The sequence below is a fragment of the Homo sapiens genome, chromosome 1, assembly GCF_000001405.40.
Source record: "Homo sapiens chromosome 1, GRCh38.p14 Primary Assembly".
Taxonomy (NCBI): Eukaryota; Metazoa; Chordata; class Mammalia; order Primates; family Hominidae; genus Homo; species Homo sapiens.
The window spans coordinates 68,122,880-68,136,188 of NC_000001.11; the positions used below are offsets into that span (position 1 = coordinate 68,122,880).

The 13,309-nt window shown below is 44.6% G+C and overlaps 1 protein-coding gene and 1 long non-coding RNA gene across 5 annotated transcripts in view; one reads left to right on the forward strand and one right to left on the reverse strand.

The window, feature by feature from the left end:
• GNG12-AS1 (GNG12, DIRAS3 and WLS antisense RNA 1) overlaps positions 1-13,309 on the forward strand; it is a 370,700-nt gene that overhangs the window by 290,592 nt on the left and 66,799 nt on the right. The gene's annotated exons all lie outside the window — the stretch shown is intronic.
• Positions 1-13,309, reverse strand: part of WLS (Wnt ligand secretion mediator) — a 134,088-nt gene that overhangs the window by 24,421 nt on the left and 96,358 nt on the right. The window contains exon 11 of one of the 4 annotated variants that reach the window (NM_001193334.1): positions 2,479-3,456. The exons of 2 other annotated variants lie outside the window; for them this stretch is intronic. In NM_001193334.1, coding sequence (NP_001180263.1) covers positions 3,347-3,456 — 110 coding nt within the window. In that variant the 3' untranslated portion in view covers positions 2,479-3,346. Of the gene's footprint in view, positions 1-2,478; positions 3,457-13,309 lie in introns of those variants that run through there. One more of the 4 variants, NM_024911.7, reaches the window with a different exon arrangement.

The following is a 13,309-nucleotide window of genomic DNA, read 5'->3' on the forward strand; positions in this document are numbered from 1 at the left end:
CTCTGGACCTCAAGTTTCTCCTCCACTGTCTATTTGTTATTTCTCTCCTGTCTCAGGATGAAAGTGTCTTTTCACTCCTTCGATGCTAACTCATCAACTTGTACTCTTGGTCCCAAAACTCTGATTTGGCTTGTGGCTTACATTAGCTCCTCAACATCTTTCCTTCATGGCTGGATCTCACCCTTCAGGTTTACAAACTTAGTTCACTTCCCTGCGGACTAAAAAACACAAGTCTCCATTTTACTCTGGCTCTTCTCGGAGCAACCATTTTACCTCCTTCCTTCCCACCACAATTGCCCACTGACTCTGCTACACTTCTCTGTCTACCTTCTGCCCTTGCCACTTAAGAAGGTTACACACATCCAAACCACCAAATCCAAGAGACTTGGATCCTTAAATGCTGCTGAACCTCTGAGGACATCTAACGTTGTTTCTTTCGTCTTTTTTCCTTATGAATCTGGTTCTTTCTTTGAAACCCCACATTTCTCTGATTTATCCACCTTATCTTCTTCCCCTTTCCTATAGAATATGGCCATGTCTGGCTCACCACTCTTGGTGGTCATCTGCTTGATGTTTTACTGCTCTGCCCAGTTGTCCTTCTTCCTCTCAATGGTGGTGGCTGCCCAATCTGCTGGACCCCTCAGTTCTAATTGTTAGCTCATTTCCTCAAAGAGATGGCTTTTAAAACCTAGCCCAGGCAAACCCAAACTCATCATCTTGCCCACTGTGCTAGATCTTTTCTGATTGTTTGCCCAATTCAAAATGGATTCTCCATTCTTTGGAGATGGACACCGATCTATAAGGTAGGCCCCAAGCAGCCATTTGACCTGACTTCCTGGTCACAGGTGACTGGCACAGGGACAGCCACCTGCCTAAGACTCCTGTTTTTAAGTGAGAGAAACAAGAACTGGATAAAGACTCAGTAGTGAATGGTACTGCTCTGAGAGAAAGGTGCATGGATTCCTGGTGCTAGGGGCCCTTAGAGCTGCCCCACTTCCCATCTTCCTGGTTAATTCAACTCTTCCATGGATCTCTCATATATGCTAGGAAAGTTCTAGTACAGTCTGTCTCTTAGCTAAGCTTGCTAGAGTTGGCTCCTACTTAGAAAACTTTAAGTAGTGAATCCACTGACATTTGTCATCCAAGAATCTCTCTCTCTGTCCGAAACCCCACCCATTCCCTTCCCCAGCGAGGGCTTGAAATTTGACTCTGATCGATCTTTCTGTGCAACCCACATCCAGAACATTCAAACCTTGTGCATTTTATCTCCAAAATAATCCTCTCCTCCAAGTCCTCTGCTACTGTCCTGGTTCCAGTCTCTGTGATCTCTTTTCTGGGCTTGTCCAGCCTCTCCAGGCTCCAGTGATCATTCTGATCGTATCACTTTTCTGCCTAATATCTGAGGCTAAGTCTTGTAACTCTTACCACAGCATTAAAAACCCTTCTCCATCTGGCTCACAGGTGCACAGGGCTCATCATCTGCTATTTCCATTCCTATGTGCCAGCCAGGCCTGATCGCCGACCTTATCCAAACATTGTCCATGCTTTGCATCTTTCTTCTATGATTTTTGTACTGCTGATCCCTTTGCCCGTTGGCTCTGGTAAAATCTTTCTCCTTTAAGGTCTATCTAAAGTCCTTTTCCTAACCCAGGGGATAGAGAAACGTTCCCTCTATCTTCTGGGACAGGAGTTCCCTGCTGGACTGGGAGGCACGGCTCCCTTTGATTCCTGGCACTGCAGTGGTTGATTGGTAAGTGGATATTGAGTGCACAGGATCGTACACCATCCCAATGTCCACCAGGTTAGGAAAAGGCCTAGAGAGAATAGCCAAAGTCAAAGCATTTTCTACTGTCACTGCTTACCACGCTTTAAGCCAAAGTCAGGAAAAGGCAGGCTAGGGGTGCTGAGTGGTGAATTACATGGACTGTGCCCCAGACCTCCAGACCTCAGTGTCTGAAAAACAAGTTACTCATGAAACTGGTTTTAGACTCCAGGAAAAACACATTTATGTGGCTTGCTGTTCATAAAACACTTCCATATATATGAACTGATTGAAATTTTCACTGTGACCCCAGTAAGCAGTTAAAGTTTATCGATATAAGTGAGGAAATAGCCAGGTCAGATGTAAATCACAGACCTTCAACAGGAAACAGTGTTCCTTCTCTCGGCTATCTCCAGTGCAAGTGTTAAAATACAACGAAAAAGGCTATTGGGGAAAGTCTGAATAGGGCAGAGGACGGCTCTGCTTCTAAAGCACGTGATGTTCTCCCCACCTTTGTTGTCACGCATATGAGCATCCCTTGCCAGCCTAGGGAGGCTAACCACACAGGACAGAAAATGTCACTCTTTCTCCAGGAATAGGTATTATCCCCAAACACTTTGATTTGATGATAAAGTATATCAGTTTTTCAGAAACCTATTTCCCCCATCAACTCCCCACCTCTAGGTTCAACCTGGAAAATAATCTGCACGCATGTGTATGAGTTTTAGCAGGAGGGGATATGCATGTACACATATGCATATACATACAGGTTTATTTAAATGATTGGATCTACACTTTTGGAGGCTATTTGAAGTATCTTATCAAAATAAAACGCATTTTAAGCAAGAAGTTAAAAAAGCTTTTCAGACCCGAAGGCCATTTAATACAGTAAATCTTACTTGGGTAGTTTAGCAAACATTTTTTAAAACCCACATCCAACAGATTGGTTAGTATTAGATACACAGATTTGGTTTCAAAGCTGAAATACCCCTGGTGGAATAAATCTTCTCATGAAATTCAGTTATATTATGCCACAAAACAGGGACACTTATCTATTGACAACTTAAATATTAACTCAGTGGGCTACCTGGTGATATAAATAGGAAAAAAACAGTGGTCATGGATTAGGAGTGAGAAGACTATGACACCAGCCTACCTTGGACTGGGACCGCAAAGGATGTTAAAATCTATCCTAGAATTTAAAACAGGAAAAATGTCAAATATTCCACTCCCCATTCGGCCCAAACCATCCCCCAAGGAATACACCCCCACCCCACCCCCACATGAGGTTTACTAACCAGCTGCTACAGATGTTACTATGTCACTAATTAACAATGATCACAGAAAATGTGTCATACCAGAGTTTTTGTTATCATACACAATGCATTAGTGGCTGCAGGAATCTTCCTCCAAAAGCTACCGTCAGAAGGCAAACTGACAAATGTCCATGCCGCTGGTCCAAGAAACCACAGCTAAGAGCCATGAGGCATTCATTTGTACATTGAGCTCTCTCTGGCATGCTCCCCACTCTAGTTAGAGGGGCTGGGGTATGGAGAGACCGTCCCAGCCGGGCGCTGCAGCCTCCTACTCCTGGGCCTCCTTGCGGGTCAACTTGTAGATCTCAGTGGGTCCGTCCACATGGGTGATAGTGGTGGTGAGCTGGAGTTCTTCCCCACTATGGACACCCAGATCGCCTGAAACAGGGTTTTCGGTGTTAGATGCATTCAAGGAGGAAGGAGAAGCAAGCTGGGGTTCATCTCATGGACAACTGCCCTGATGCTAGCCCTCTTTGACATTCTGAGCACACAGAGACACCTAGGGCACACAACATTCAGAACAAGGACTAACTCCAAACCTGTTCACTTGGACTTTGCAGAACTTTTTAAAATACCATTTTTGGCTCCTAGATGACAGTCATTAAGATACGTGAGTCAGCTCACTGCTGATATTATTCATAGTAATCATTAACATTTAATGAGCATTTACTTTGTGCCTGACGCTATTCTAATCACTTTGTAAGTGATCTTCTTTAATCCTCGCAGAAGCCCTCTGAAGTAGGCAGTATGAACGTGCCAGCCTTACAGATGAGGAAGCTGGGAGGTAGGCAAGGTAATTGTCCTGGGTGGAGGAGCAGGCCCACAAGAGAGCTGGCAAAGGAACATCTGATGCCAAGACCAATGTGATGGGCTAAACCAGCATAACACCCCTCCCAACGGATGGGTCAGTCAGGCACCAACACATTTGCTATGAATAATTTACAAAATAGGAGCCAGGTGCAGTGGCTCAGGCCTGCAATCTCAGCTACTCGAGAAGCAGGGGTAGGAGGACTGCTTGTGGCCAGGAGTTTAAGATCAGCCTTGGCAACAGAGCGAGACCCTGACTCTAAAAAAAAAATTTGTTTTAATTACCTGCGTGCAGTAACTCACACTTGTAACCTCAGCTACTCAGGAGGCTGAGGCAGGAGGATCACTGGAGCACAGGAATTCTAGGCTGCAGTGAGCTATGATTGCACCACTCACTCCAGCCTGGGTGACAGAGTAAGACTTTGACTCTAAAAAAATAAAAAAATAAACTACAAAGCATCTATGTCACGTGAAAGCAAATAAGACCTGCTTATATCTATCCATAGATTGGGGAAGGAGCCATGTCTAACACATCTAGGAACAATGAGGGGCTTTATTCTCCAGGAAAAAAGAAGTGCCAGAAACGTGCTGTGCATTTCCTTCTGCCCTCAGGATTGTCCTAAGTGTTCTGAACTCATTATCAGTGGACAGTGTTCTGCTAAAATGGAATAATTTGAACTTTTCTAAATTAGTAGGAGAAAAAAATTTTCTCTAAGTTAAACCTCGAAAACTCTGCTACCTGCCATAAGACAAGTGAATGTATAAACAACAAAGGGAAAATGGAAAACGCAACCACGCTCAGTCTGACTGTGTGTGGGGGTGCACGTGTGCACACATGTTTGTGGAGAGGGGTGCTGGGGAATAGAAAGTTAAACTTGTGTCAGTGATTTTTATATTGTGCACATATCATATGATAAGTTTTCTGGAACTGAAGTTTTTCTAATTTAAAGCATAGAATTAAGTAACTAAATGCTGTTTTCCATTGAAATGCCATACCATAACTTAGAAGCAGCCTTGGCCCTACCCTTAGGACTAGTAATCTTATCACTAATTTAAGAACTGCTAGGCATCAATGAATCTGGTGGCCTTAGAACCCCAGATGTCACTCCCACCCACTGGCCCAGCAGGCTGCTTGGCTGGTTCCCTTCACGTGTGCCACGCAGTATTAGTTTCTCATCGTAGACCCATTTCTCTGTGGCTGCACAGCAAAATCAGTCCTATTATTAAATGCCACCCTGTAAGCTCTCTACCCAGGAGATTCCCTGGCCTCAGAAGCAGACTCATTGGCTGCTGCAGAGGACTGCTGAAGACATTTGGGGCTGTTTTGGCAAGGGTCTAATCCACAGGACTATGGGTAGAGAAGGCATTAAAGGGGCATCAGTCCAGCCTCCAGCACATCCACATTCATCTGCCCTCAAGCCAGAGCATAGATGCCAAGTAAGGCTGGTGAGAGGCTTTAGCTGGGCTACTTTGGGCCAAGCTGAACCACCACTTGTACAGTGAGCAACTACTCCCAGGCCAATAACTTGTATTCTCACTGCTGCAACATCTAGTCCACACCTCAGTCAAGCACAAGCAGTCTAAGCTTCACATTTCTCAGTCAAAGCTATTTCTGGATTTGCATATCTGGGCTAGCCATCAGAACTTCAAAGCCAGTTTCATGATCTGCATGTCTGTGTGAGTCATCAAAATTTCAAAGAGTCCTGACCACCCCAGTGGACCCATTAGCACTCATAACCGTTTACCTAAGGAATCCCTTTCCCTGAGGACTTCTTAGAAATAGATGCTAGAGAGTAATTCTACTCAGGCTTTGAACCAAAGATGTTAATTCTTTAAACTTAAAATATGACTCCAATTAGCAGATCTTAGAATATGCATATGATCCTACAGATCACTTGAAAAAACAGCCAAAATTGCCTTGGCTTCTTTATTTAAATGGATACCTATGTCATAATGCTTAACACGTGCCTGACACAGTTCTAAATACTGTACAAATATTAATGCACTTAATTCTCATAGCAGTCCTCAGAGGCACTATTATCATCACTCCCATTCTGCCGATGAAGAAACTGAGGCACAGAGAGGCTAAGTAACTTGCCCAAGGCCCAAGCTGCTAAATAGTGTGTGGGATTCAAATAAATAGGTGCCAGGATGCAGGCTCTCAACTTTTGGGTTCTGCTGCCTCTTCTTAAATATTCAAGTTTCCAGCAGCCAGTGAGACTGCCAGTGAGGTATGAAGTCCACACACACAGCATTACAGCTAAAAATATCCGCATACAGCCGGGTGCGGTGGCTCACATCTGTAATCCCGGCACTTTGGGAGGCTGACGGCGGCGGATCACTTGAGGTCAGGAGTTTGAACCAGCCTGGTCAACATGGCAAAACCCTGTCTCTACTAAAATTAAAAAAATTAACCGGGTGTGGTGGCGCATGCCTGTAAGTCCCAGCTACTCAGTAGGCTCAGGCAGAAGAATGGTTTGAACCCGGAAGGCGGAGGTTGCATTAAGTCAAGATCGTGCCCTTGCACTCCAGCCTGGGTGAGAGAGTGTCTCAAAAACTAAACAAAACAAAAAACTACACATAAAATAATTTGAATAAATTGTTTAGCATATTTACTTTGCTTTTGTATCTGATAAATTTATAGCATATAAATCAGTGCACTGACAGGAGAGCTGTTATAAATTTATGAGTATTGGCCATATGCACTGTTAGGGGTTTAGCATGCCCTGTATTTCCTTGTACGATGTGAAGCTACTGTGGCATAATTAATTTCTCTACTGTGCTGGATGAGGACCCAGATAATGGGACTCCATGCACCAAAATCTATGTTTCACATGTGATTTTATTGTACCTTGAAGGCCAACTGTTCCCCCTTGGGGAATGGGTGTGTGAACGTGGCAGTAACATAGCACGAGTGGAGATCCCTCCACTTGCCTCCTAATTCCATCACCTCCTACTTCTGCCAAGGTCTTGCTCCATCTGTTAGTTTCCCCCTCTCTTGGCTCCTGCTGTTCAGTGCACAAACATGCTCAAAAGTCTCTTCCCATCTCAGACAAGAAAAAACCCTTCTGAAAATGTGATATGTGTCTTGGGGTGAAAAAGAGTGAGAAAGAAAAAAGAAAAGAATGCTTTAGTTTGCAGTAAATTTCTCTCCCTGGTTATGATGTCAAATTCATCACAGCTCATTAACAATTAGATGACGGTCTATTTCTTCCTAACCTTGTGAAATGAGACCAATCTCTGGCACAGATTTCATCCCAAAGGACTACGGCAATGCATCCATATGTGTGGAGTCACATCCACAGGTGTGTAAGCGGCTGCTTGGTTGTAACTGCCTGGAATGCCTAATGAGGATGAAGAAAGCCATATGCACTGGAGACAGCTTCTTAGGACCGGCAGCATTTTAATGACAATTGTTTGTGTATCTGTGCCCACTTCAATAAAAATGACAACAGCTACTCTCATTCTGAGGATGTATTACAGATTCCGGGAGAGATCGGAGGTACCACTAGAGGTCTTCTAATATTAATAAGGCCTACGTACTTCCATCCTCACCACTACCAATGCAAATTAACACCCCACTGCCCAAGTGTGAAAGCCAGGGAGCTCCCATACCATGAGTTCATATTTGTTCTCAAGGTCATACACAATGTGTGCCGGAGCCAAGATTCCAAACCATCTGTGTCTACCTCCAAAGCTTATGTTCTTTCCAGAACATTCATGACCTATCCTTTTTTGTAGAATTTTCCCTAGGCCCACACCAACCTCTCTCCTATTCACCTTCAAAGCTAAGTTCAAATGATAACTTTTTGTAACGAAGTCTCTGGTTCACAGCAGAATGAGAAAAACAGAAAAGTGTAGTATTTTAAAGCCAAATTATTTTCATGCAAAGAACTGCTTAAGAATATGTCTGCCTTACATTTTTGGTGTTAATATGATTGTTATGTTAAAGAACAAAATAGTGTCGCTGGTGCAGTGGCTTACATCTGTAATCCCAGCACTTTGGGAGACAGAGGCAGGAGGACCACTTGAGCCCAGGAGCTGGAGACCAGCCTGGGCAACATAGAAAGATCTTAACCAAAAGAAAAAATAATAATAAAATGGTGAATGGTAGGTTTCTTCTTCTTTTTTTTTTTTTTTTTTTTTTTAGATGGAGTCTTGCTCTGTCACCCAGGCTGGAGTGGAGTGGAGCGATCTCAGCACTGCAACCTCCGCCTCCAGGGTTCAAAGAGATTCTCCTGCCTCAGTTTCCTGAGCAGCTGGGACTACAGGCGCATGCCACCATGCCCAGCTAATTTTGTGTGTGTGTGTGTGTGTGTGTGTTTTTAAGTAGAGACAGGGTTTCACCGCATTAGCCAGGATGGTCTCGATCTCCTGACCTTGTGATCCACCTGCCTTGGACTCCCAAAGTGCTGGGATTACAGGCGTGAGCCACCGCACCTGGCCTTTTTTTTTTTTCCAAAGAAAGTAAATACCCAGGACAGTATGTGGTATATAGTAAGTGCTCAAAACACCCATGAAAGATTTGCCTGGTGCAGGCAAGGGCAGTTCCTCTGTACTCTGCATGGCTGGGTCTAGCCTAGCATATCGGCACTGGTGTTCTTCCCCACTGGCATTTAGGAAAACACCCTCAGTTAGAAAACAAGTGTGCCTTGGGATAGCTCAGCTTTGAGGATCCCTTCTGGGAGATGGGGCAGAGTGGCTTTGGTGGACAGGGTTAAGAGCCCTGGGTCCAGTTGTCTCTCGGTGCCTGTCAACCCCAGAGGTCATTTATTCCAGGCTTGGAGCGAGCCATTGCCCATGGACCTCCAAAGCACCTCCTGACACTTACTGCCAGGCAGTAACTGCAAGTGGGAGAAGAACACAATAGAACTTATTAGTTTGGGGGTAAAATCTTGGTGTTACAGGCTGAATTGTATCTCCCCCAAACTCTCAAATTCATATATTGAAGTTCTAACCCCTAGAACCTCAGAATGTGACTGTGTTTAGAGATAGGGCCTTCTTAAAGAAGTAATTAAGTTAACAATGAGGTCAATTGGGGATGGGCCCTACTCCAACAGACTGGTGTCCTTTGAAAGAAAAGGAGATTAGAATATAGATATACACAAAGGGAAGACCACGTGAAGACACAGGGAGAAAGTATCCATCTACAAGCCAGACAGAGAGGTCTCGGAAGAAACCCACGTTGGTGATACCTTAATATCAGACTGTGAGAAAACAAGCTTCTGTTGTTTAGGACACCCTGTCTGTAGTATTCGTATAGCAACTCTAGCAAACATTTAGGAAGCCGAAGGTTCTTCCCAAGAAGGTAACTGAGATGTCCCTATCATGGTGGGGTGACAAGAATTCTAAGACTCAGAAAAAATGATTTTAATTGACTGGGCCAGGAAAGGTCAGGTCACTGGCACAGCAATAGCCCTGGGAGAGGCAGGGGGCAGAAGACACCTGATTACAAACAGCTGAGCAAGGGGTGCCAGGCTGGTGACGGTCCATCAGTTGGTTCCCACCTTCACTGGGGAATGGGAAAACGCTTTTAAGACCTGCTTTAGGGTCTGGGTCCAGCCCGTGTGACAAGACCAATCCCATCAGTGCTCACAGACATCAAGAAGCTCAGCTGGCCATGGGCAGATCATCTAATGTACAATCAGGGAGATGGCGTCAATAAAAGGGGGCAACCAATGTCAGGGCCTCAGGACTTAATCCAACGCTTTACCGAGGCAACAAAGCCAAAGCCATCTTTCCTATGAAACAAGGGGCAGGAGACCTCAGAAACCTCCAGGAGTAAAACTGACATCACACTGTAGCTAGCTGCCAAGACGCGGAACCAGTGTTGCCGCTTTTGCTCCCCGCAGAGTGGGTGCATTAGACAGAAAATGCTTAGCGTGAACAGAAATAGGAGGGAATGGTGGCAGTGAGGGCATCTTGTGTTCCCTCTGCCACAGTCATCTAGTTGGGAATTCTGTGTCTCACTTCTTTTTTTAAAACATTCTGACAAGAATTTTATAATCAAAAGAACACAAAAATCAAAGCTATTATCAAGAATTGTCTGACTTCATAAGCAGCTCCAACTTCTTATTCCCACCTGAATTGTGGTTGAGTGGGTTTGCACAGTTTTTCATGTGTGCAGGGCTTTGCTGCTGGAGCCCCGGGAGGTGGTATTTTTGCTCTGAGAAGAGGATTCACTTTAGCCTGCTGCAATTCATATCTGCCTGGGAAGACATCCAGAATGATTCACAAATTGGTTATGGCAACAGGTAAAAAGAACAACTGTCATGAAAAGGCAGCAGCAGCAACAGCAACAGCAGCAGCAGCAGCAGCAGGGCAGAAAATATAAGTGTTCCTTGAAGGAAAGGTAACTAAAATATCTTTGCTAAATTTAAAAATCTATATGTGCACGTGTGTGTGTGTACACTCAGACACATATGCATAAAATGATTACACATATAATTCTATGTACATAAAAATAAAATGATTAATGTGAATGAGTTTGCACATTCACTGCCGCTATGGTCCACCAGCCAATAGGAAGGAACCCAGGGGAAGTCCACGAAAGCCTGTGGCTATAAAGAATGTGGCGCCACACTCCCGCAGCACCTATCTGCTGGTGAGAACACTCCAGTGTGGAGTTGTCCTGCCACCTTTCAAGAGGTAGATGAGGAAATCTTGTCCCCCAGACCAGGCTAAAGACCCCTTGAGAGCAAGGACTATGTCTCTGTCACTCCTTCGAGCTTCACTTCACTCCATCTCATTCAAGATGGCACAAGGCTAAGTACTAAGGAACTAAGGTATGAGGTATGAGCTAAGTACTGAGGTGCTCCGTGGTTCATTTGTAAAGGGTCACTTTCTGATCCATACTATGAAAGAGAAACAGAAATATATGAGAAAATGCTCTTTGGAAAGTGACCTTGTCTTGAACCTGTGGCCCACTTTGTTCTTCTCTGTCCATTCTATGACCAAAAGAGAGAAGAAAAAGTCTATCGTGAAATGCTCAATGATTCCATTTCCTTCCTACCCACTTCTACTTCCTCCTGACACTTGGCATGTCCCTCCAACTCACATACCAAACAACCTCCATCAAAGATTCTTTCCCTTTTCTTATTGCCTTTGGCATCAGAAACTGCTTGTCTGTGCTCCGTCCAGGATCCATCTAACAAAGGCTGAAGCCCCACACACCTGGGATTCACTCTCTGTAGCAAGATATCTGAATTCCTAGCTCTGAAGCTTCAAAGCAAAGGAGAGAAAGAAATAGGGAGGGAAAGGCCAAAGCCAACTTAAAGACTTCCCATGAGAATGGAAAAGGAGCATGGGAATGCTGGAGGTGGAGAGAGAATGCCATCCAGAGACTCAGAGAATGTAAAGACACATGTATCCTTCCTTGCAAGAGTTCTTCTTTGAGGTTTCCACATAATATTCCAAACTAGGTCTTTCCAAGGAACTTCGAAATCTTGGCAAATGCTCCGTAATTCCTAGGATACATCGTGTGATCTGGTGGCAGATGAAGAGATGAAAAGTGAAACAAAATAGAGAAGAAAAATAAGCAGAATGCCCAACATGGAAGAGACCCCTTCCAAATGCACAAGGTCACAGCACCATGCAGGAAAGGGAAGGGCCCACAAGCTGCCAGGGGTTCCCGGGGGTGCTGGGAAATCACAGATCATGTTACCAAAGGAGAACTGCTAAATCTTATGACTTTTGTGTTTAGGATCAGCATATGGTCCCCAAATAGTTTGCCCACTAAATTGCCTGAAGAATGTTTTTTCACAGAGGGTCTACTTGGCATTTCACAGGCAGGACATTTCTTTATGACATGAGCCTTGTTTTGCCTATTGAACAACATTTAGTAGCACCCCTAGAATCTGGACACTAAATGCCAAAGGCATGTCCCAGTTATAGTCACAAACCAAAACAACTGTGAACATTTAAAAACACCCACTTAGCAGAGGATTCAGGGGATATGACCTCTTGTTGAGAATTATTTGCAAGTTTTCCATGAAATTACAGATCAAGCTGTCTTTGATGAAAAACTCTGTTGAGGAAGAGTGAAGTGCTTTTCTCAATTGCAACATTTCAAGCCTAGGAGACTGGCTACTGTGTAGGGTGGGAAGTCCTGATGGGAGCTGCCTAATATATGGCTCAAATCTCAAGAATCTGTCCAACATGGTGGTCTGTAGTCATCCTGCCTCTGCAGGGTTGGCCACAGCTCTGGGCTCCCACTTGCTGAACAGTGTTAAAGTTGGACACGTTCTCACCAGTGTTTGGAAATCCCTTACCTATGACAGATATCACTCTCTGGGCTGCCACTTAGTGGCAAGAAGTGTTCTTCTGCCCCTTCCCTGCTAATAGGAAGAAAGACAACCATGGACTTTCTTTTCTTTTCTTTTCTTTTCTTTTGAGACAGGGCCTCCTCTATCTATCACCCAGGTTAGAGTACAGTGGTACAATCATGGCTTACTGCAGCCTCAAACTCCTTGGGCTCAAGGGATCCTTCTGCCTCAGCCTCCTGAATATCTGGGACTACAGGTGCACACCACCATGCCTGGCTTTTTTTTTTTTTTTTTTTTTTTTTGTAGAGATGGGGTTTCACTATGTTGCCTAGGCTGGTCTCAAACTTCTGGGCTCAAGCAATCCTCCAGCCTTGGCCTCCCAAAGTGCTAGGACTATAGGTGTGAGCCATTGCACCCAGGCTAACCACAGAAATTCGTAGTTCAAAAGGACTTTTAGGAGATCACTTACATTTGGGAGCAGTGGTGCACAGAGGGTTAAGTGTTTTGCCAACAGTCACACAGTAAAAACAACCAAAAGAATTTATGTACATAAAGTGCTGTAGCACACAGTCAGTACTTGATAATTATTTCCCACCGGTATTATCATTCCATCATCCAGGAAGTCCAGCCATTGCTTTAAGTGGTATTTCTCTGGAAGGTAGAAACTCTACCTACTCACATCAAGGACAAGGCCACATGGTTTCCTTCAGTGTCCCCCACAGGATGACCATGGAATGAAATCAAGATTCTTGTCCACAAGCCCAGCAGTGCTTGCTGCTCGTGTTGTGGAAGCCCACTGCTTGACAGGCTGAATGCTCCCATTTTCCACATGTACAGTAAAAACACCGAGTGGTGTTTTTACTAGAAATGGAAAGGAAGAAGGCTGCCTAGCTCACAAGCCTTCTAGCAAAACAGTCAGTCAAACCAAAGTTGGGCAGGGGGTAGGTAAGTAAATATTCTGTATTCTCACCTCAGACCAGAGATGGGCTTGAAACTGATTGTAACATGTCTACTCCAAAGAGGTCAAGGGGTGAGGGAAACTCATGTCCAGCATGCTCTCGCATGGACATGGCAAATACAGGATGAAGACAGACAGTGGCTGAGACCACTCCACGTCCCTTGACCCCCAGCACAGATGCCTTCCTCTCCTGCTCCACTTC